The 22,929-nt window shown below is 43.0% G+C and overlaps 1 protein-coding gene and 1 pseudogene across 5 annotated transcripts, besides 2 other annotated features; both read left to right on the top strand.

The window, feature by feature from the left end:
• The window catches only part of LOC124901865 (translation initiation factor IF-2-like), a 451,468-nt pseudogene that overhangs the window by 228,460 nt on the left and 200,079 nt on the right, over positions 1–22,929 (top strand).
• Positions 416–917: an enhancer, noted in NCBI's record as "NANOG-H3K27ac hESC enhancer chr8:7700121-7700622 (GRCh37/hg19 assembly coordinates)". NCBI's record gives its function as "activates a minimal SCP1, AML or CMV promoter by ChIP-STARR-seq in primed H9 embryonic stem cells {active_cell/tissue: H9 hESC(primed)}" and the evidence as "EXISTENCE:reporter gene assay evidence [ECO:0000049][PMID:30033119]".
• Positions 918–1,417: an enhancer, noted in NCBI's record as "NANOG-H3K27ac hESC enhancer chr8:7700623-7701122 (GRCh37/hg19 assembly coordinates)". NCBI's record gives its function as "activates a minimal SCP1, AML or CMV promoter by ChIP-STARR-seq in primed H9 embryonic stem cells {active_cell/tissue: H9 hESC(primed)}" and the evidence as "EXISTENCE:reporter gene assay evidence [ECO:0000049][PMID:30033119]".
• SPAG11A (sperm associated antigen 11A) lies at positions 5,825–21,614 on the top strand. 5 transcript variants are annotated; one of them, NM_001081552.3, is made up of 4 exons: positions 5,825–5,924; positions 6,508–6,660; positions 18,463–18,540; positions 21,318–21,614. In NM_001081552.3, exons 1-4 carry the CDS (start codon positions 5,864–5,866, stop codon positions 21,350–21,352), a joined length of 327 nt encoding a protein of 108 aa, NP_001075021.2. In that variant the 5' UTR covers positions 5,825–5,863; the 3' UTR covers positions 21,353–21,614. The 5 variants fall into 5 exon arrangements, with proteins under 5 accessions (NP_001075021.2, NP_001350655.1, NP_001382413.1 ...); NM_001363726.3 differs by lacking the exon at positions 21,318–21,614 and adding an exon at positions 18,164–18,239 and having other exon boundaries at positions 18,463–18,760; NM_001395484.1 differs by lacking the exon at positions 21,318–21,614 and having other exon boundaries at positions 18,463–18,760.

Here is a 22,929-nt window from a genome sequence, read left to right on the forward strand (position 1 = left end):
TCCCTTGATAACTCTCTCCTAGATTATCTCAAATAAAAATAAATTATTTCAAAGGTGCCCATTTGAAAATACTCTAGAAGGTGTAACTCAGGGGGAAAGAACTCGTTTTGTAAAATAGAACCCCAATACTATTATCACCCCTGGAAAAAATCAGCATTCATTCCTAAATACAATTTAACAGCCAATCTGTATTCAAATGACCCTGAGCATTTCATAAGTGCCTTTTTAAGAGTTGATTTATTAGAATCTGGATCCTGGAAGGTCCACATACTGCCTCAGGTTGTTTACCTCCAAGGCCTCTTGCACAGATGGTGATGTGTACTTCTATTCCATCTATAAAATATTGTGCTGAAAATTGAGTGCATATCTGGGCAAGCCCCTAGGTCTCAACACTGCAATTACAGGAAAAGAAGAAACTACTGAACCACCCCCAAGGATGCCACACTCCAAATGCAACATACAGAACACGCTATAAGACAATGTGACATTTATTTTAGTCTTACATTTTTTTAGACTCTTTTCATTATTCTCATATTTTGTATTTTATAAAATACTTTTAATACATAATCTCCTTTGATCCTCACCATAAACTCTTGAATTAGGCATGGTAAGTGTCAACATCCTCACCTTTTAGGCACTGTTACTAAGGTTCAGACGGATTAGTGGTTTTCCTAACACTGGCCACGATATTAGGCAAGACCAGGCCTAGACCCCACATCTCAAGTGCAGTTCAGAGGCAGCACAGCATGGCATGTACAAATACGCAAAGCCTGGAATCCCAGCTCTACTGCTTAGCAGGGGACCTTGGGAAGGTGACTTATTTGACTTGTACCTTGATTTCCCCTCCTGCCGTATGGCCATTCTGCCCAACAACACTTACAAACAGAGATCCAACTGCTGACCCTGTGCTACAATTATTTTTTGTCTCCTTTTAAAATGTAATTTGATGCCTTGCCAAGGAGGCCATCTTGTACCTCCCAATGTAAATATAGAGCAAAGCAAGGGACTTCTACAGACTTTAATCAACGCCACCCGCCGTAGTGGCCAGAGAGACAAGAACAAGCAGAAAGCAAAGCTATCTCATTGTCAGATAACGTAGAAAGCCTTGTATCGTGGTCTTCACTGAAGAGCCCTGGGTTTGGCTTGCCGTCCTGGTGTCCTATTGTTTTGCTCTCTAAAGAGGCTGGATTCTGAAACAGCGCCCCCTCCCGCCCTCAGGTGTAATTCACATAGTCATATTAATGAACTGCTATCCTCAGCACTTAACGACATCACAAAGTCGCACTACTTTAATTTCAGGGCTTTACAGTAAAAGAACAAAGATAGATTGTTCTATTTTATTGTTTCCAGAATTGGCAGGAAATATTTAATAATTTGTACCTGATGCACTACAAACACAATCAGAAACCCAATAACATTGCTACTTATCTTCTATCTCCAAAGGATGGATACAGATCTGAAGTCTGTAGTTCATAATGAATGATCAGTAACCCTTTGAAATGTGCCTAATGAAAATCAACAGAAGGAAGGATTGTTTGGATATTTTTCACTTTTTAATTTATGCGTTTTTTATTATTTGAAGTTGAGAGAGAGAGACAGAGATTGACAGAGAAAATCTCTGGGTGAGCAAATCACCACCCAGGTCCTTATTTAAATATCCAAAAGAGCAGAACTTGAAATTTTCAACGTGCAGGAGTTAAGGTTTTCCACACTGGCATATTCTCTTTCTTGCCTCCCAAGAGACATCCCATTAAATCCTGGAAAATATGACTGTGTAAAGGGGAAACATATTGCAGCCAAGTCTGTGCTCAGAAGTTGCTATAGAATCAACTTTCTCTTGCATTACCACATGACCCAAAGAAAATTAGCCTGGAAGAGTCTCACAGGTGAGTGAAGCAGAGATTCCTATGTAGATTTTCTTATCCCTGAATTTTAGATTGTGATATGTCCACAAGGACTGCTGGGACCTCAGTTTCATAGGCACAGAGGGCCCTGTGGGTAAAAATAGGTGGGGTCCTGAGTCTTCCCAACATGACAAAGTCAAAGACAGACACATGGTGAGTGGTAGAGCTGCCTTTGTGGCTGAATCCGAGAGAAAAAAATGGTCAACCTCTGAGGACTGGGAAGGGGCTGAAATGCTTTCCAGTTATGAGAAATTACACCCAAAATAATAAAAGCATCATGGCACCGTGGAGAAAAGATACTATTCCCGTGAAAAACTACATTTCTTCTTATGTCTGTGACCACCATGAACTCCTGCTCTTCCCCAAACAAATCTGTTGCCTTTCCCTTTAACTTTGAGCACCCCTTTGTTTATTTACATGGACTCCATTCTGTTAATAGTGTCTGCAGTGCATAGCCTCCTCCAGATCTTTAGTCTTTAATTAACACATATAGACACATCGCTTTTTCACTCATCCTCCATTTCCTCTTCTTAAAATATTGGTTAGGTCTCTAAGACAGTTTTCAGTTCCAAAATGTTATGATTGTTTCGTCAGAATTGCCAACCTCGGCCAGGCAGGGTGGCTCACGCCTGTAATCCCAGCACTTTGGGAGGCAGAGGCGGGAGGATCACTTGAGGTCAGGAGTTCAAGACCAGCCTGGCCAACATGGTGAAAACCCGATCTCTACTAAAAATACAAAAATTAGCTGGGCGCGGTGGCAGGCACCTGTAATCCCAGCTACTCAGGAGGCTGAGGCAGGAGAGTCGCTTGAACCCGGGAGGCGGAGGTTGCAGTGAGCTGAGATGGCGCCGCTGCACTCCAGCTTGGGCAACAATGCCAGACTCCGTCTCAAGAAAAAGAATAGGCAATCTCAACAGATTTATTTAAACTTATAACAATACCATGTTTTTATTACCAAAACTAAATGGTGTTTATGCCTTAGCGCTCATGAAAGGATTTCCTGTGTTCTTTCATATGCTGCCTTAAGAGCATTCTTGGGATGGCTGAAATGGCTACAGATCAAATCGACTTCTGAAAACACAATTCATTTTGTGATTCTGTGCATGAAAAAGAAACAAAATACCAAAGAATATTTTTGCACAATTCTCAAAGCTACTTCTTTAACCACGATCCAAAAGCAGTTTTCTCTCCTATCATGTAATTCTTCCTGACTGCTTTTTCCAAAGAAGACTCTAATATTTGTGTCTTTTCCATATATCAGTTATTTTCCCTAGAGGGGAATCTGTGCCTCTGTTAAATGGCATTCTAGTTGGTCTTACAGACTGGTTAGCATGTTACAATCTCAGACTTAAGAATAAGAAAATCTGCATAGGAATCTTTGCTTCGCTCTTCTGTGAGTCTCCTCCAGAGAAACTTTCACTGGGTCATTTAGTAATGCAAAAGAAGAGTCTAAATTTGATTCTGCAGAGAACTTCTGATTCCAAACTGGGCTACAATAGGGTTTTCCTTCTCGCATTCATATTTTCCAGGATTTACCAGGATGCTACTTGGGAAGCAAGAAGGAGGATGTGCCGATGTGGAAAATCTTACCCCCTGCACATGTGTGCAATTTCCAATAAGATCCTTCAGGAATATGTATTTGCAGAACTTCTTATTTGACAATAAAATCTTGATCATTTTACTTTAGCCCACCTACTTAGTCCAAACGAATCAAGATACCACATACTAAGCAGCTTAAAAAAAAAAGAATATGATTTATTGATTGAATGGACCAAAAAAAACTTGAAACAATTATTAGAATATTCTATAATGGGTTCTGCCATCCTCCCCCTCAGGATGGATGTGGCTTTTAGCAAGAGAATTATTCAAAGATTTTTTTAGGACACAGAAATCTGGCAGAAGAGGACAGGAGCTGAGAGCATTGTTGTGTTAGGACAGATGTAACATTAATTGCCTTTATTACGACTTCACCAGCTTTTGCCTGTCAAAGAGCAGAACTAGGCTTTCCCGGCTGCTCTTTTTTAAGATTGTTCTTTTCAGAAGCATGGAAGAGGGGGCTTACTTTATCTCAAGACGTAGACAAAGGAAGTGAGATCTAACTATTTTTGGCTCAGTTTCTTCATTTAAATAATTTCAAATAATTCTAACGACTTCAAAGAAGATTCCGTTACCTGGGTGGTAATTACTCAAATGCTGTTATATTTTAAGTCATGATTTTGATTAATGATTCATTACTATGAATATCTGAATGGTGGAATAGGCTTGTTTTTGTTTTCTTTCCTTTTATAGAGAAGATAAAAATATATAGAAATAAGTTACCAATATACTCCAAAATTTCCATCACTGTTATAAAAGATCCACATTCCAAGTTTAAATAATTACAAATACAACTGTAAGAAGTTGCTATTGAACTAGAGTATAAAAAATACCCAGAGTATGTAGATGAGCGAATAAATCTTCATTTAGGGTTGAGGTAGAGCAGCTGTCTACCTCCTTTCTTGACTGTCTATGTTCTTCCAACATCCAATTATCAGAATTTGATGCAGTAAGTGATTAAAGAAACTTATCATGGGCCAGTTGTCACCTATCTCCGCAGTGTTGCCCTGTGCTCTTGGAATTGGAAGACTTCCTAATTCCTTAAAGTGAAAGGATGTGAATGATGCTCCTGCTCTCCCTGACCAGCACCTCATGCTTTGCAGTGGAGAATCTGTCCTGAGACCCAAAAGATAGTGGCCTCCGCATTGTGCTGCCAGGGCAGCTGCTATGTGCAACTGTCCGCAGCTGCAAACCTTCCGCCCTTTGCTGGTGCTTCAGCGGATGCCCAGGTCTCTATTGTCATTGCTGCCTCTTTCTCCATTTGCTTCCAGCTTTCTCCAGGTAGAGAGTAAGTATTTTTATTTACACAAATGACCTAAGTTGTTTTCTCTGTCTGGATTAAAATATACATGCAAATGAGACATATGAGATAAGCACTATCTTTTCCAGACATCACTGATGTTACATTGGATGCTATGTGAATACAAAACTCTTCAACCAAAGCCTTCTTCACTTTAGTTAAGTCCAGAGCAGACTGTCTGGGTTACATGCATACCTGAGCTAATGCAGCCAAGTAAGAAACACACACTTGGTTAAAATGCTTAAAAAGATGAAGGAGAAGGGAAGACAAGTCCTCTGCTTGGATATTACTAGAGGAGAAAACCCAGACTCAAACACAGATTTTTTTTTTCTTTTTTAAAAGAATTGAATTGGACCCAGTGACATCAACAGGAGGTGTCTGGGGGTAAAGAGAATGGAAAGGGGAGAGAAAAATCAAGACAACTCAAATAAGTTAAAATAGAAAGGAGGGGGGTCCAAAGTGAGGAAGGAGAAGTGGAGGGGACCAAGAAACAGGGAGAGAGACTCAGAGAGGAGAAGAAAAAGAAAAGAACATTTTGAGCAGCCTTGGAACTCTCTGTATAACTTCAGGAAGGGATAGTTTGTAAAACCAGGTCCTACCTGTTATGTTGTGTGTCTTATGCATGATTTTTTAACACTAAAATAAAAACGCTCAGCCAACAGGATAGAATCGACATGGCAGTTTATTTATGTCCCTGTTCTCATGAACATTAGGGGGCTTTTGAGAAGCGTTTGAGGACATTGGCAACTTTATGATAGTTATGTTTGTTCTGCCCCTCCATGCCTTTCATCTTTCTGTTTCTCTCTGTTCTTCCTTATTCACCAAACCCACCCAAGGCATTCAGGCGTATTATTTACTTCCTGAAATATGTGTCTCAAGTGTTTGTTCCACCAGCAGTGGGATAGTAGCGTGTCCACATTGTCCTTTGAGAATGAGAAGTCATCCTGGAGCACAGCTCTTCCCACGCTCCGGGCCCACACACCCAGCCTCACTCCATCAAAGGAGCCCCGCTGCCTGCCCACCCACCCTGGGTGCTTTCTGGCTTGCAGTGCTCTTGGCAGACATGAGGCAACGATTGCTCCCGTCCGTCACCAGCCTTCTCCTTGTGGCCCTGCTGTTTCCAGGTAAAATGGAAAGGTGACCCGGGTCTGGGTGCCAGAATCTCTCTGCAATGGTCATCTGAGGTATGGGAGTCCAGGCTGGACAGGGAGAGATGAAGTCCTTGGGGCATGTATTCCTGGTGGAGCTTTGGGTACGAGTCTCTGAACTGGGTTCATAAATGGCACTCTGAATTGGCTGATGGCACTTGCTTCCCAGGGAAGAGTGTCCCTCCCCGACTCCATTTTCTTATCCTTTTAACATTCCCCTTTCCCTTACAGAGAAGAACATTACATTTTAGGGAATCTTAACAACTGCATTAGTGACACTTGAAATAAATTCTCTGGCTGTGCTGGCTTTGAGGAGGTGCTCAGACTCACCATTCATGGCATACATTTCTTACACTTCATTCACCTTCTCTCTCTACACATAGGTGCATACAACGCATGTGCACAAATGTGCACACACACGGAACACTAGCACCCCTCCCAACTCCCCCACCCAATCACCCATGCTCACTCACCTGGTAGAGTGTAGGTGCCTCATGCTGACGGGTCTGCCAGGCGGAGGCCTCAGAGCATCCGCAGACGTGTGTTTCCACTTGCACAGGATCGTCTCAAGCCAGACATGTGAACCACTCAGCCACTGAGGCTCTCGGAGAACTCAGGGAAAGAGCCCCTGGGCAAGGCACAAACGGGTTTCAGCTGCTACGCCACGCAGTGAAACGGGACCTCTTACCACCGCGCACCCCACCTTACCAAGGTGAGTCAGGGACCAACACGTGCAACAAGTGCATCCACTGGGGAGACGTAGAGGGAACAAATAGACGGGAAGATGTCTGTGCTGGTCGGGGTGGGTGAGCAGTCATTGTTTGGGGAAGACATGGTGCGGGTGCATTGGGCTGCCCTGCCTGTCAGGGAGACCACGGGGTCTCACAGCTTCCCCTGGGGCTGGATCATTGAGGGCCTTGTGGAACGTGGGAGTATTGAGGGGCCAAAAGGCAATTTATCTGAAGCCACACCAGTAATTGCTGGCTTCCTCCAAGAACAGGTGCCAGAGGAGACACTGGTGGAAACATGGCCTCCTGCCAGGTTGCAGCCCCATGCCCTTAGCTTTGGAGGTCGTTCCCGTTCAAGGAATTTACTGAATACCTACCTACTAAGTTTCAGGTGTCCATTGAGGTCTGGGAAATGCTTCCTGAGGATGGGGGCAGAGAATAGACTGTATTGTCAGTCTACTCAGGCAAGGAGGTAGCAGGACATGGCAAGGGACAATTGAGCCCACAGCCACTCTTCTGGACTCTTCCAGAAGGGCCAGGCTTCTGGTCAGCCCCCAAACCCCTGGGCAGGACCAGCTTCAAATCCAAAAGGGCCTGGAAGAGCCTGTAGTTTCCAAGATGCTTCTTTAATGCCAAGCTGATTGCTGACCCTAAGACAGGGAGAACTAGGTTAGCAGATCAGTGGGCAAGAGCAAGAAAGACAGGAGGGTGTTGGCAAATTGCTGTGACATCCAGCAAATAAAGTCCTGCTGAATTTGATGCCTGCAGCATCCTACCCAACCTCCCATCCCTTTCTAATTGGCCCACAGTTCCAAAGGACTCATTCATCTGGATCTCCTCCCAAGGGAAGGGAAAAAGAAAACTCAATTATTACACAACAAATATAAACAGGTGCAATAGTAGGCGTGTGTTATTTAGTCTAACAGTATTCCTGTGAGACAGGATTATTCCTTCCTTTGGTTAAAGGAGATTTAGTGGGGCAGAGCTATATATCTGGAGTTGATGTTTTAGTTTGGAACTTGAAGCTATTAACTATGGAAAGCTGTTTCATATCCATGCCACCCCCACCCTGTCCCTCACGGCTCAAATGACCACTGTTTGATTCTGGAGATGGTCTTAAGAAGCTAATGTTGGATTTTTTCTTTTTTTAATGCAGAACCTGCATCAGATTTAAAAGTTGTTGACTGCAGGAGAAGTGAAGGCTTCTGCCAAGAATACTGTAATTATATGGAAACACAAGTAGGCTACTGCTCTAAAAAGAAAGACGCCTGCTGTTTACATTAAAACTGATGTTGCTGATATAGAAACAAAGCTCTGCCACTTACCTGTTCTCCGGGGCCACGTTGTCCAATCAGGTGCAGGTTTTTTGCGGAAGTGTCTGAGCAGCAGGGAGCGGAGATATTGCCACTTGTGCCAGACAGTTCAAATATTTTATTGTGGCAAGATAAATGACAAAAATGCTACCTGTGATCTTACAGAAGATGACTTAGCTTGACATGAACAGAATTTTCAAAATCACACAATTTGTGCTAGTAAATGTGGATATCATAAACTTTTATTAGAAAGAATTAAAATAATTTGTTCTTTTATTTAAAAACTATTTTTTGAATACCTACTTCTATTCTAGGTACTGTGCAATGGAGTCCATTCTATTCTAAGTACTGTGAAATGTAGTTGAGGTGTCAGGTGTGTGGTCAAACCCATTCTCCATCAGCCCCATCATCTCCTACCTGCAGGCCAGTTCGAAGCCCTGTTCTCTAGCAGCAGCTGAGAGAGTGTGCAGGCAAATGCCTTCTGGGGAGATACTGAGAGCTGGGAGTTACTGCCTGTTCTCTTTGTGCTAAACCTGGAAGAATACCCTCTGGAAGTCCTCTTGTGCCCCTTTAAAACTACCCATTTGTTCTCTGTGGCCTTAGAAGACACAAAATGCAGAGACCCATTTATAACCCGATGGTGCTGTGCAATTCCAGGCTTTTGGTGTCCTGAACAAAGAACTGGATGTGATACTCAGACAGCAAAGCAAGCAGCAAAAGTGTGTGAAGCGCAGTATTACATTCCCGGAGAGGGGAGAGTGGGCTGACTTCTGCCAAATGAGATTAGCATGGCTTCGGTGTACCTTGGGTCTTTTTATGTGTTTTTTCCCCTTCTCTTCGCAAGGCTGCCTGATCTTTTGCCGGTGCCTGCCTTTTGATAGATAGGTGTGTTGCTTAGTTACTTTAGCCTGTGCGGGCTTGTGAATTGTCTCCATCCCATAATTTTAACTACATGCGTGATAGGTAGTCCATATGCATGAGCTTTAATGAGCTGATTATCATACAGCATCCTGTTAAGGATACTTTTTCTCTTTAATGCGCATGCCTATCTCTGAAGAGCTGCCCCTTCCTGGTTTGATCTGGATCTTGCTGGCCATGGGGTCCTTGCTCTCTTCTTTATCTCACTTTTTCTTTTGGCTGCTTCACTTCTGCCTTTTATCTTGCTTCTTGCTCACCCACCCCTTCACCTTGCTTCTGTTTCTGCTTTTATTCACTCTATCCTTTATCCAACTTCCAATTTCCTCTGCAATTCTCCTGCCTCACATTAACTTCTAGAGATAAGTGATTTAGGAGCCAGTCCCCCAGGTGGCAGCTATAAAACTGTGCTTGAAGTATTCTCCTTCAAGGGAGAAGCTGGAGACCTGGATTTCTTGCTGGAGCTAGTCGAGAGGAGCAGGTGCAGTGCCTACCTATACCTCTGTTCAGGCTCCCACAGGTCTACTGTTCACCCTGCCCCTTTGGCTCCCAGATACAGACCCAGAAGTCAACCCTCAGGCAGCAGATGGGAAAATGGGTAGATAAACCCCTTGCAGGTAGAAACCGGGAGGTGGGCATTTACCTGCCTGCTCTGGCCTGAGCCCAGGGAGAGAGCTGCCAAAAGTGCTTGCAAATCTGTGTCCCACCATCTCTTTGGTGTCTGTGGTTTAGGGAGACCTGCAGATGCCCAGCTCTATCAACCCTGAGCTGGGTGATTTAGGAGCCAAACCCCTGGGTGGGAAGCATAAAGGTCAGGGTACTATATGTGTGGTCCAAACCCTTCACTCCTCAGGGAGAAGCTAGGAGTTGGGACTTCCTTACCAATTAATTGTAAGGTGTTATGCCTGGGATAGGGATTGTGCGGGGAGTGTGTCTCAGCTCTTCCCACCTGTTTTCACATGAATATTTTCTCAGTTGCTTGATGTGTAGTAGTCGTTCAATTAGTCCATGGTTTTCTCTCAGAAAGAACCGATCTGTGTGTTGATATTTCTTTGGTATATCCGTGGAAGGAAGGAAAGGCTGGAGCCTCTTAGTCCACCATCTTGCAGATATCAGTCTGGCACACCCTTGATTACTGTGTAGTTGAGCGTTTTTTCTTTTGTTTATTGATCATTTTTTCTCTTCTGTAAAATTTAATAGTTTTACTGGGTTACTACTTTATTCTCTTTTTTCTTTTTTTTTTGAGACAGAGTTTCACCCTTGTTGCCCAGGCTGGAGTGCAATGGTGCGATTTTGGCTCACCACCACCTCCACCTCCCGGGTTCAAGCGATTCTCCCAGGTTCAAGCAATTCTCCTGCCTCAGCCTTCCTAAGTAGCTGGGATTACAGGTGTCCACCACCATGCCTGGCTAATTTTGTATTTTTAGTAGAGACGGGGTTTCTCCATGTTGATCAGGCTGGTCTCAAACTCCCGACCTCAGGTGATCTGTCCGCCTCGGCCTCCCGAAGTGCTGGAATTACAGGCGTGAGCCACCGCGCCCGGCCAGGTTACCGCTTTATTCTTATCCATGTACATGTGCTCCTTTTATATCTAACCTTACATATTCTTTCCTCCATCAATTATCTTCCCTTTCTCTGGAATGCCTCCTGCTTAAACCCCAGTTATCCTTGAAATATCCTCTCATTATCTTTCAACCATAATTTTCATGCTTTTCCCTTTTGTTCTCTACTTTGCAGATATTTATTTTTATATCTGTAGAGCCCTTCTATTTTTTTTTTTTTTTTACTATTTTTGGATTTTGAAGTTCAGTTATTAGATTTTTAATTATTTTTAAATAGTCTTATATTTGCAAATAGTCCCTTTCTTTCTCAACGTGTGACTTTCTCATGGGATCTAATTCTCATTTTGCTGACCACAGTTTCTCAAATCTCATTAGGAATAAATACATATTGATTGTTTTAAAACTGCATTTTTCCATTGAAATCGCACATATTCCAGTTCAGTTAAGTCTCTTCCAGTTTCTAAAAGTGCTGACTTCACTTCTGCTAGTTTTACACTGACCGCTAACATCTGCTTGCTCATGCAGACCAGCTGTGCAGGATTGCTTTGGTAGGGTAAGCAAGCGAGTGAGAGGTGGCAAAGAGTGAATGTGGGTAGAATCTGCTGTTTGTCTTAAACTTTTCTGTAGGGTATCTCTACTTAAAAGAAGTTTCATGGATGTCTTTAATAAATAAATAGGGAAGAAATAATGATATTTGCCTAATCTGTCCATAAAATCTTCATCAGTGATCATTATTTTAGGCTCAAGTTAATTAATAATAAACTGCACATCACAAAACTTTGAGCTCATTATTCTCTTTGCAGCTTTCTTTAATCCCCATAAATTAAAACTTCCTGCAAATATTGTTATGTATTAGATTGCTACAAAAGTAATTGTGGTTTTTGCCATTGAAAATAACGGTCAAAACCGCAATTACTTTTGCACCAACCTAAGTATAAGCATCTGGGTAAGAATCAGGATCCTGGGGCTCAGCATAGGAAAGAAACTAGGTACACAGAGCCCTTTACAGAATGCCACCTTTCCAGGCTTTTTTTCTGAACAAAGATGTTCCTTAATCAACTTATGTATGGGCACACTCACACGGGGCTGATACCCACGGATAATGAAGGTATATGAAACTAGTCCTCACATACAAAACCAGAAGCACTGGTAACTTAAATAACCTCTTTGTAAAGCAATCTTAATATGTATGTAAGATATAAAATACTCGTTCTCATTGTTTCAGTTATTCTGCTCAGAAATTATCCTGGGAAATAAAAAAATACTTTGAGAAACCAAAAAAAACTCTAAAAAGTTCAAAATGGAGCACTATATTAGCAAACTACAATAAATCTACTCAGAGATATTACATATTCCTTAGGTATAATAAATATAACACAGTGAAAAACCATCAAAATGCATAACATTTTCAAAATACTTACATGTCCTAAAAATTATGATACCAATGTTCACATATTTGATATAAAATTAACTGTGAAAAGTATGCTTAAAAACAATAAAGTTTCTAATGTTAAAATTATTGGTGATTTTTAGATATTTGCACCTTTAAAAATACCATCAAGTTATTGCATTACTCTTAAATGTTAAATATACATTTGTAAGAACAAAATTAATGTGCCTAAAAATAAACATATATATGTATATACAAAGATATCACTTAATTATAAGCAAAGACATTCTGTTGTAGACTTAAGTTGCATCCAGAAACTCACAGAGTTAACATAAGAAAGCACTTCCTGGGCAGTAAGATGATAAGACTCCTTGTTTGCATAGCGGTGAGTAAAAATAAATAAAAATTTTATAAAAAGATGATATGACATTTAAAGCATGTTACCCAGGGAGATTTTGGAGCCTACCTGGGATTCATAAAAAACAGGTAGAAACTGATTTTTTTTTCCTCTCATTCTTTGATATTATAATATTTGCAGTGCTGGGTTGTGGACAAGGGGAGGGAGAGCATTAGGACAAATACTTAATGTATGTGGGGCTTAGAATATAGATGACGGGTTGATGGGTGCAGAAAACCACCATGGCACATGCATATCTATGTAACAAACCTGCACGTTCTGCACATGTATCCCAGAACTTAAAGTAAAATAAAATAAAAATAAATAAAAATTACAGACGTTAAAAAAACAAATGTGCCATCCTGCTTGGAGACAACTGAATAAATATAATGGGTTCTCAAGGTCAGTCCTGAGCCACCAATTCCGTTAGTTATGCATTCTTTGTTCTCACAGCAGCTTTTTAGTACAGGCCCCTGAGCCCTGATGAGGTTTTATGGCCACCAGTTTTACGCAGTGGGAAGAGGTCCTTAGACAGAAGCTTGCTGGAGGCTGTCTCAGAACGCACTGCAGCACACCTGACTGCCTTGTATTCCACTCTGCACGCCCACCTTCCGCGCAGCATCCTTCCCTCCCCTGCACCCCAGCAGCTTTTCCCGGGATTTGATCCTTCTGACTCATCCATTGCTCAGAGAGTCCCCATCATCAGGAAGCCTGTCTTCTCTTCAATGCCTGAGGTTTGCGGGGCAAGGAACAGGTGGGCAGGCTCAGTCAATTCCACCCCATTGCACCTCGTGTGACATAAATAATGGGCGCTTCTAATCTTTTCTTCCTGTCCCTACATGTGGTCGTCACCGCAACTCTGCAGGCTTGACCTGCTCTCACCTGGCTTATTTTTACCTCTTTGGGTCATGGGAAATGACCTTCTGCACCCAGGGAATCTCCCTTAGTTGATAAGACCAAAATGGAAATAAATAATAAGACCAAAATGGAAAGTTAGTATGCCTTCATAAAGAGAGATTAAATTCATGAACACAAACCCTGCCTCTTTCTTGAAAACCCAAAATACATAAATAAATAAAACCTCCGGAGCAAGAGGAGTAACATTAGCATTGTCCATGAGGATAAAAAAGTGGGGAGAAACCCCAGCTGACTTTTTCATCATCCCAAAAGGAGACACCAGTAAGCAGCCACTGGATTTGCCAGCTGTGCACATTTCATATATATGGAATCATACAATATGTGGTATTTTGTGCCTAGCTTATTTTACTTAATGTGAGATTTTCAAAGTTCCTCCATGTTGGAGAATGTGGCATTACTTCTTTTCCTTTTGTGACTAAATAATATTGCATTGTATGGATGTGCCACACTTTGCTTATACATTCATCAACTGATGCACATTTGCATTGCTTCCACCGTTGACACTTGTGACTAATTCTGCTATGAACACTACACTCATGTACAGGTTGCTGTTTGAACACCTATTTTCACCGCTTGTATGTATACACCTAGGAGTTGAATTGCTAGGCCATATTGGTAACTCATATTGTTTAACTTTCTGAGGAACTGCCAGACTTTTCCACAGCAGCTGCACCACTGTACATTCCCAGCAGCAACATATGAAGGTTACAATGTCTCCACATTCTCACCAACACTTGCTGTTTTCAAAAATTTTGTTTTGTTTTGTTTCATTTTGAGACAGAGTCTCGCTCTGGCGCCCAGGCTGGAGTGCAGTGGCCCGATCTCAGCTCACTGCAACTTCCGCCTCCCGGGTTCAAGCGATTCTCCTGCCTCAGCCTCCTGAGTAGCTGGGATTACAGGCACCCACCAGCATGCCTAGCTAATTGCCCGGCTAATTTTTGTATTTTTAGTAGAGATGGGGTTTCACCATATTGGCCAGGCTGGTCTCGAACTCCTGACCTTGTGATCCACCCGCCTTGGCCTCCCAAAGTGCTGGGATTACAGGTGTGAGCCACTGCTTCTGAAGTTTTATTTTTTTTATGACTGTCCTAGTAGATGTGAAGTGATATTTCATTGTGGTTTTGATTTGCATGTTTCTAATGACTAATGATATTGAGCATCTTTCGTGTGCTTGCTGGTCATTTGAATTTCTTCTTTGGAAAAATCTATTTAAGTCCTTTGTCCATTTTTAAGTGTGTTGTTTGTCTTTTTGTTGTTGAATTGTATCAATATTTTTTAAAATATAGAAACATTTTTTCTACTATCAAATGTTTGCAAACCCAAAGTTATCTTTCCTCTCTTCTCCTTACACTCTTCTTTTCCATTCATGAGTATGATGCACATCAGAATAATTAGCTTGTGTGTTGGCACAAATTGAACTCTATTTCCTTTCAACTCTGCAATTATATGAACCTATGAACCTATAACCAGATATTAACAAAATTAGCCAATAAGCGTGATTTTCTAGTTTGATTTCTTTGAAATGATATGCCTTATTCTTCAGAATTATCCACAAAATAGTTCCGTGGGGATTGCTTTCTGGGTCTGTGATTTGGGAATGGATTCAAGTCTGGAGGAGAAGGTACATGATAAAATTTAATACTATTAATTTATTTCTCCCCCAAATGAATTTATTTTCCAACATAGTTTATTGTTTCCAAACTATACAGAAATTTTCTAAACTATAATTTCACAATGATTTGATTAGTAACTGTACTGCTAGAAAAAATATGCCATCCACATTTACCTTGGATCCTTTCCAAATAACGTGTAGTATAAATAGAAAGAATGAATGTAAAGTATAAAATATGCATTTTATTGTTTTATCTATAAGTCATCTTAGTGACTTTTAAAAAATGACTCAAATTTTTGAATATCCACACTCAGTGTTTTTATCAAACAATGGTTCATGTATCGTACAGCCACTTTGTCCATGCACAGGATACATTCAGAATTGTCATTATTCCTTGGGACCCTTGAACTTAGGGTATCATCTTGGTGTGGAAGCCAATTTCCCTAAGGGGCAAATGAAATTGCTTTTCTTTCTTTCTTTTTTTTTTTTTTTTTTTTGAGAGATTTCAGAGATGTCTTCAGAACAAATGCTCCACAGAGAAAGAATTTCACATTTTAATCGATTTCTTAAAGTACTGAGTTGGACCCTCACAAATATTCATAACTATTTTACAATTACTTAGTACATAGCTAACATTTAAGGTAACTTTTTTTTTTCTCTCTTTTTTTTTGATGGAGGGTCAAAAGCAGCTTGGAGTGCCCAATTTTCCCTAAAGTCTTAACTTCGAAGGTGATTTTGCAAGGTACAGAAAGGTCTGTGAGTCAGAGAGTCCCTGCCAGGGCACATTGTCCTGCTTAATCTCTCCAGAGGTGGAAAGTTCAAAATGAACACCCAGCCCCTGCCTCTTTGAGATGCTCACACTGTTCACCCATGCAGAAAGTCCAAGACCACTGCTTGATGTCTCTTTTTCAAAATCCATGTCTAGGTAAGACTCATGGTGAGATATGGTTGTTGAGGCTGGTTAAATAACGCAGAAGACAGCTTGCAGAAAATATGATGTGTCTAATCTGAAGAATAACAAGGCTCTGCAAGCTATAACAAGTAATATAGGCAAGTCCAGAATGATATCTAGAGTCTGCTATTGCTTACATAAAAATGGGGTATGGATTCATCTCTGCTTCCATACACATGGGACACCTCTGGAAGGATTAATAAGAAGCTAACAGCAATTGTTATGAAGCCCAGGGGGATAGGAGAGAAGACATCCTTCTCTCTTGCCCCTTTTGCTTAAGAGAATTTTAAGGGAAATAAATCTAAGTGATCCTGGGACTAAAATCAAATAGGGGCAAAATGTGCAGCTTTATCCACTGTGTGTTTTAATACCACACATTATATAAACCCACACACAAAAATATCGTGTCCTTGCAGATTCTGTTTTCACAACTCCCAGCACCCCAGAGCCCACAAACCTCCCTCCAGCCCAGGATGACACAGCCCTGTGGTTGCCGGGGGCTCTCTGCATCCCTCACTAGACTGTCACCTCCGACAGCGGATAACTTCATCAAATGAGAGAAGAGCATGTCCTCTTCCTCCAAAGTAGACAATATCCTGGCTCTTCATAAATAGGTGAATTTTGCCAAATTTTTGGAATAATGTGGTACGTTGTCTCTGTTTTTTTTTTCTTTCAGCATAGCGTTTGTGAGGTTCATCCACGTTGTTGTACACATCTTCTTGTTTTTCTATTCTTGTTGTGGTGTGGAAATACATTGTGTTTTGTTGTTGTCATAATACACTATTTGGTTGCATTCTCTTGGCTGCAAGGAAATGTGCTACAATGAACGTTCGTGCACATGTCTCCTAATGCACGTGGGCCTATGTTTCTGTTGGTAGATGGGAGTCATGTTGCTGGGAAATAAGCTAATTATCTGCTCAACTGTGGTGGACACCGCAGCTTTCTGAAGGCAGAAAATATATCTTTACACAACCATGTCTCTAGCACCTAGCACAGGGCTTGGCACTAAGTAGCCACACCTCAATGTTGGTTCACTTTCCTCTTCAATATCCGTATATGGAATTATTGGTTGATCCCTGCTTCTCTGAATATCAGGAAGCCAGTCTATTTTTAGGCAGAAAGGGAAGAGTAGTCAGTAACCTTCTGCCCACAGCCTTACTCAGTAGAGCAGATAAATATGCTCATGCTGATCAGTATTCCCAAAAACCTATAAATGTCCCATTTTGTGCCTTCTCCGCTCCATTTCATTCCATCATTCATCATATTTGTGCTCCTTCACGGGAGGGCAGGGAGGTTCAACGGACCTTAAAACATGAAGGTCTTTTTTCTGTTTGCTGTTCTCTTTTGTTTGGTCCAAACAAACTCAGGTAAATGTCTCCTGGTTAGCCCTGGGGAAGGTAGTGCAGGAATTCCATTTATGTGTGTGTCTGTATGGACAGTGTGTAGATGTGTCTGTATGTTGTTAGTGGATGCAGGTGGGCCACTGTGGGGCTCAGTCTTGGACAATTTTGATCTCCCCTGTGAAGTTTTTTAAAAGCTAAATAAGTGTTATAAAGGTCTTGACACAAGACAAAGGGGTATGCTTGCTCTGATACAAGTGGCAAGCACTCACTGCAGTCTGAGAAAAGTTTTCAGAAGGAAGTTATAGTCATATGAATGTCAGAGCTGGAAGGGAATCAGAGATTGTCTATAGCAGCCCCATGCTCTACAAAAAGAAAACCAAAGTCCAGAGAAAGTGTTAATTTACCATGGTGCAATGAATCTTTATGGTCATAGTAGGTCTTCAAACTTATAATATTCCCCCTGCTTGCACATAGAACACATTTACAGATGGGCAAGCTGAAGTGTAACCAGTTAAATGAGTTGTCTAAGGAGACATAATGAGATATTGGAAGAAGTAAGACCAGAATCCAGGTCTCCACGCTTCCAGGCTGGGGGCTCTTCTGTCTTGACTAAAGGTGGACCCCCCACCTTCTTCACTTTGCTGTCTCCTCCAAGCTGTGACAGGGCTGAGATGATACAGAATCAGGGATTAGACCCCGTTTGGAGGTTGGATGTTGTGCAAGAGTGTTTTCCTAATCACGCAAGACCAACACTGTGCTGTTGTTGTTGTTGCTGCTGTTGTTGCTGCTGTTTAAAGTCATCGTACGTAGCATTTGCAGATCTGACATAAGTAAGATCTTTCTTTCAACCATCTCTTGCCCAATGTCCTGTTGTTATAAAAATTTAGGTGGTCATTTGTGACTTACAAGCCCACAGGTCCTGGTGAGGAGAGAGGTTTTATTTTCTCCTTTTCGTTGTAGGACATAAAACTAAAAATTGGGCCATAAGTTGAGAATGGGTTAATACCTCTAATTTCCTTAGAGACCAAGACCTGTCCTATTCTGGACCACTTCTGTTTTCCAAAACTCCCTTTGTTTCCTTCTAGTGCACATCTCTCACCAGGAGGCTCGAGGACCCTCATTTAAGATCTGCGTGGGCTTTTTAGGGCCTAGATGGGCCAGGTGAGCATTCATAAAACACACCCTATCATCCTCCTGGCAACATTTCAGATATAAATTATCGTTCCTGTTTTAAAGCTAAGAGGCCAAAGTTCGGTTAAACTGGGGCTTGTCCAAAAATACTTAGCCTTGTCAGAATATATAACCCTTGGCAGTGGGCTGGGTTCATCTTCTATTCTCTGCACTATATGAGTTAAATGTCAACTCTCTTCTGTTGTATCCATAGGGGATGTTCCACTGGGAATTAGAAATACCATCTGCCGTATGCAGCAAGGGATCTGCAGACTTTTTTTCTGCCATTCTGGTGAGAAAAAGCGTGACATTAGCTCTGATCCCTGGAATAGGTGTTGCGTATCAAATACAGATGAAGAAGGAAAAGAGAAACCAGAGATGGATGGCAGATCTGGGATCTAAAATATAAGCTCCCGGAAGGCAGGGATGTTGAAGTATCCCAAGGGCTTAAAGGAATGTGTGGCTTATAGTAGGTGTTCAATAAATATTTGTTGAATGAATTTAGCACCAAAGGTGAAGAGCTGATAAAAGACATTTTTTTAACTTCCTTACTTCTCCATGTACTGCCTTTTCAAAGGGGTCTCAGAATTTTGTGATATTCCACTTTCCTTTCCTAGTCAAGGGAATATCTCTTAAGTATCTGGAGATGGGAACTGACTAGAAACCGAGCTCCAAACTGATTTTCAGAGAGACATAAATGCAACCAATCTGCTGCTCTGTTTTCCATCTGATGACTTCTTTCTTACACACCCAGCACTAGCCTTCTCCTGCTTATTCACCCAGATGGTAATGCACCTTATCCCTTTTCCCTTTATGCGTCCTCAAGCAATAACACCAACAGGTCACATTTCAGTAGGATAGTGTTGTTTTCAAGCATTTACTCTTAGGCTATTTCAATTTATTAATACAACAAGCTGATAGTGTGTATAATAGGGGGTAAGCAGGTCCATTTTAGGAATGAAAGAAAAATGAAAATCATCAGGTGAAGCACATTTCCCCCAGGCTAGCAATTCATAAATGGCATTCTCAGTATGCCTATCAGCCAGCATTCATTCTTCTATGATCCTTCTAAAAAACATATTTCTGTGCAATTGGAGCAAGGCAGGGCCCCTGTTCATGGAGATTCCTGAATGCTTAGCTGCCTTTTGCCTTTCTCTGGATCCTGCTTGAATTTGTTGAATACTAATTCCAATAGTAGTGAACACCAATTACAAGTAAGGAATTTAAAAAATAATAAAAACAAACATGCTGAGAGATAGAGACCACATGCCAAGCTTTTTCCTGACTGACAGGTGGCTTGGGAAGATGCTCTGTGTTCCTGTTTCTGTCGCTGCCTGAGTCCAGTGTGCTTCTGAATGAGCTGAGGTGCTGTAAAGAGCCCACTAGAATGTACACTTTGGGGCTACAGTCTCAATTCCCAGCTCAAGTTGCAATGAATATTTGTCATCTTGCCTTTGGCCTCTCGCAACCTCTTCTAAACTCACTCTTGTTTTTTTTCTTTTCTAAATGCAATCAGACAGACCTCTGGAAGTGCACAGAGTAAGTCTCTCTTAGGCACAGGCACCGCTGCAGGGCTCTCTGTCATGCCTCTAGAGGGGAGAGCCATTGTTCCATCCCTGAAGGGAATGACTTCCTGAAGGGCATTGGCCCCTATTAGCCTTGGCTGAGAGTGAAACGCAGCAAACGTGCATGCCTCAGAACTGGCAGACACGTTCTCAGCCAGGAGTGCCACCAACCCACACCAGCAGATCTGTGTACCAGAAACACAAAATAACATGAAGGGCCACTGGGGGGCTGGAGCCTGGTTCCATAAGGATGGGACTTCTGGGCAGGTGCCGTTAGACAGCAGCACCTTCTTTTGGCCTCATGTTCCTCAGAAATGAAATGAAGGAGGTGGGCTCGATCTCAGACTCCATCAGAGCACAGCAGCCTGGGGGTGTGGAAGCAGAGCCTCACCCAAGGACCAAGGGGTCTCCACCAGGTGAGATGGGGAGGATGGGAACCCCGTCCCTCCCTGCCAGGGTGCTGCAGGTGAGAACCCCCAGGGAGCCCTCTGCAGAGTCCAGGGCCGGCCAGCAGGGCACTCGCGTGGGCCCTAGGCTGTATTATTTAATATTTTTAAGGTGGACCCTGGGCCTGGGCTGATCTAAATTGTGGAAAATGTCATCTCCCTCTTATGTAAAATTTCTCCAAAGGAAGTGTTTGTCCACTTGTAAGGCATGGTAAAAAAACTAGTACCTATGGCGTTGCCCAGCACAAAACAGGCTGTCTGGGAGTGTTTGCTGAGGCTTCCGGGAAGCAAACACGGAAGGGAAGGGAAGGGAAGGGGAGGAGAGGGGAAGGGAAGGGACGGGAGGGAAGGCGGTGCAGGCTCCTGGAGTCCTCAGTGGTGAGCTCTGGAGTTGCTCTGTTCCCTTTTTAATTTTTGTTTACTTTTTGGCTGTTTTTTCTTTTTCTTTTTTTCAATGTAAAGTGTCTCTGTAAGGCCTGAGAATGAATCTGACTGGATCAGCCCAGAGACCAAGTGAGAGCCCCCAAAACTGGGGCTTACTTTCTTGTTCCGCCCCTCTGGGATATTGGGCAGATCTCCATAGCATCCCTGTCCCCATCTGTAAAGTGACAGGATTGAACTCAGTCCTAAAATGTCCTGGCGTGGTTCTAAGACAGAATCCCCAGAACGCTCTTTTTCAAAGCCTGAAAGGCTTGGGTCAGGCAGGCATCCCGGCAATACCAACACCTACCACGCGAGGGCGCGCTGCCCTTCCGGCGCCTGCAGATGGGATTTTTTTTTTTTTTTTTTTTTTTTTTTTTTTTTTGACCACTTGTTCTGAAGCTGGGCACTGGGCTAAGGACAGGAGCAGCTGGGGTCACCGCAGGGGAGAGCCAGGGGGCCCAGGTTACCAAAGCTTCTGGCCTGAATCTCTTGGCACTGATTACAGTGCCTCATTCGTCTCTGCCCTGCACAGGGTACCATTCACGCCGGGGGTGCGGAAATGAATTAAGTTCAGACTGAATCAGCAGGGATATTTATTGAGGCATTGTCAGGCATCTGCTCTTATTTGGGAACAGGGACAGGCCAGCAGCACAGACAACGCTGTGGATAAGGAGAGTAGAGACTTCCTCTTCCTGCCTCCTGTCTTCTGGAGTTGTGACCGCAGGGTGGCCCAGGTGGATCGGCTTCAGAGGCCAGGAGGCAGCTCTCTGCAGCCGAAGAGCAGGAGCCTCACCCACGGTCTGTGGCTCTGACTAAGCCTGGACTGCCTCTCGGCTGTGCTCCGTGGACTGGCTCCCCAGGGATCCATGTGAGAGACCGGAGTATGATCCTCAGTGCGAGGACAAATAAAAGTAGTGATTATGTCCACCCCATCCTGCCCTCCGTCCAGATCTGTTTTCAACTTGAGGATTCATCTGCCTTGTCCTTGCTAAGACACCTTCAGCCTGTGGTCAGGGGAAGCTGGGAAGAGGTGCTGGGAGACCCAGGACATCGCAAGTTGCTTCTCTGGCTGGCACTCAGAGGTGCGTGAACCCTCTGCCAACCCTAAGAGGGGCAGGAGGGTGCCTGGTGATGGGCCGGAGCTCCAGCCAGCCAGCAGGGGCAGAAGGACTAGGCCTGGTCCAATGGGGGCCCAGGATGTTTTTCTTGGCAAATCCTCATACTTTTCACATAGCTCTTTCTTCTGAGATAAGTGTGATCATCTCCACTGTATCTCTAAGGAATCAGCTTCCTGAGATGACACAGTAACCAGGAATGACAGAGCTGTTCCCTCCTAGTACTCAAATTGGCTCAAATTTCAACCCCACTCTGAAGCTTTCCTGGCCCTCTCCCCGCATTCCTGCCTGGCATTATCAATTGCTCTACGTCTCTGCCCCTCAGACACTTCGGTGCATCCTATCATAGGGTCTTGTCACTCTGTTGCCATCATTTATTTACATATTTATAGTCCTCCCACTAGACCTTGAGCTCCTCAAGGACAGGGCCTGGTACATAAATACTCATATTTACATCTTTAGTAACCACTGAAGAACAATAAATATGAAATAGAGGAAGGAATGAGTGAATTAACCTAAGCCTCAACCACTGGTCTTCTTCAGTGCACCACTACTGTCCTTTTTAATCCAAGCACTGGGGCAGATTTCACCAGGGGATGCTGGGAAACCCCACTGTGATCGCGGCCACATCCTAGTCACAGCCTGAAGCCCGCATCCTTGTCTTATCTCTCACAATCCCCTGGTTTCACCGCCTTCTTCCTCTCCTCATTCCAACCACTCCCCGTCCCATTGGGGTACTCATCTCTACAATCTGGTCAGAAGGTGGGGCGAAGCCTTTATTAGCTCTCCTTTATTATAGGGCCTCACAACAGAACTTGTAACCCCTTCATTTTCAGGGGCTTAACACTTACCCCACGGGAGGCGGCAGAGCTAACAGGGAGGCTCGACGTGTTGGGGCTGGAGAAGTGAAAAGTCCCCTGGCCCCTGAGTCTCCACACTGAGCATCTGCCTCTGACAGCATGACATGTGCACCTTCTGTCCCTCCCTCATGGAATCATAGACAGAAAAGGGACCCAGGATGTCACTAAATTGAAGCCATGCCCCAATGAGCCTCATGGCATCCTGGAAAAAGCCCTGAACTAGGAATGAAAATGCCTGCGTCCTTGTCCTATGTCTGCCGTCCTTGACCTCA

Source organism: Homo sapiens, chromosome 8, assembly GCF_000001405.40.
Source record: "Homo sapiens chromosome 8, GRCh38.p14 Primary Assembly".
Lineage (NCBI taxonomy): Eukaryota > Metazoa > Chordata > Mammalia > Primates > Hominidae > Homo > Homo sapiens.

Coding starts and splice junctions, on each gene's coding strand:
- SPAG11A (NM_001395484.1), top strand. CDS start 5,864: ATGAGGCAACGATTGCTCCCGTCCGTCACCAGCCTTCTCCTTGTGGCC. Junction 5,925..6,507: donor TGTGGCCCTGCTGTTTCCAG/GTAAAATGGAAA, acceptor CCACTTGCACAG/GATCGTCTCAAGCCAGACAT. Junction 6,661..18,462: donor GCGCACCCCACCTTACCAAG/GTGAGTCAGGGA, acceptor TTGTATCCATAG/GGGATGTTCCACTGGGAATT.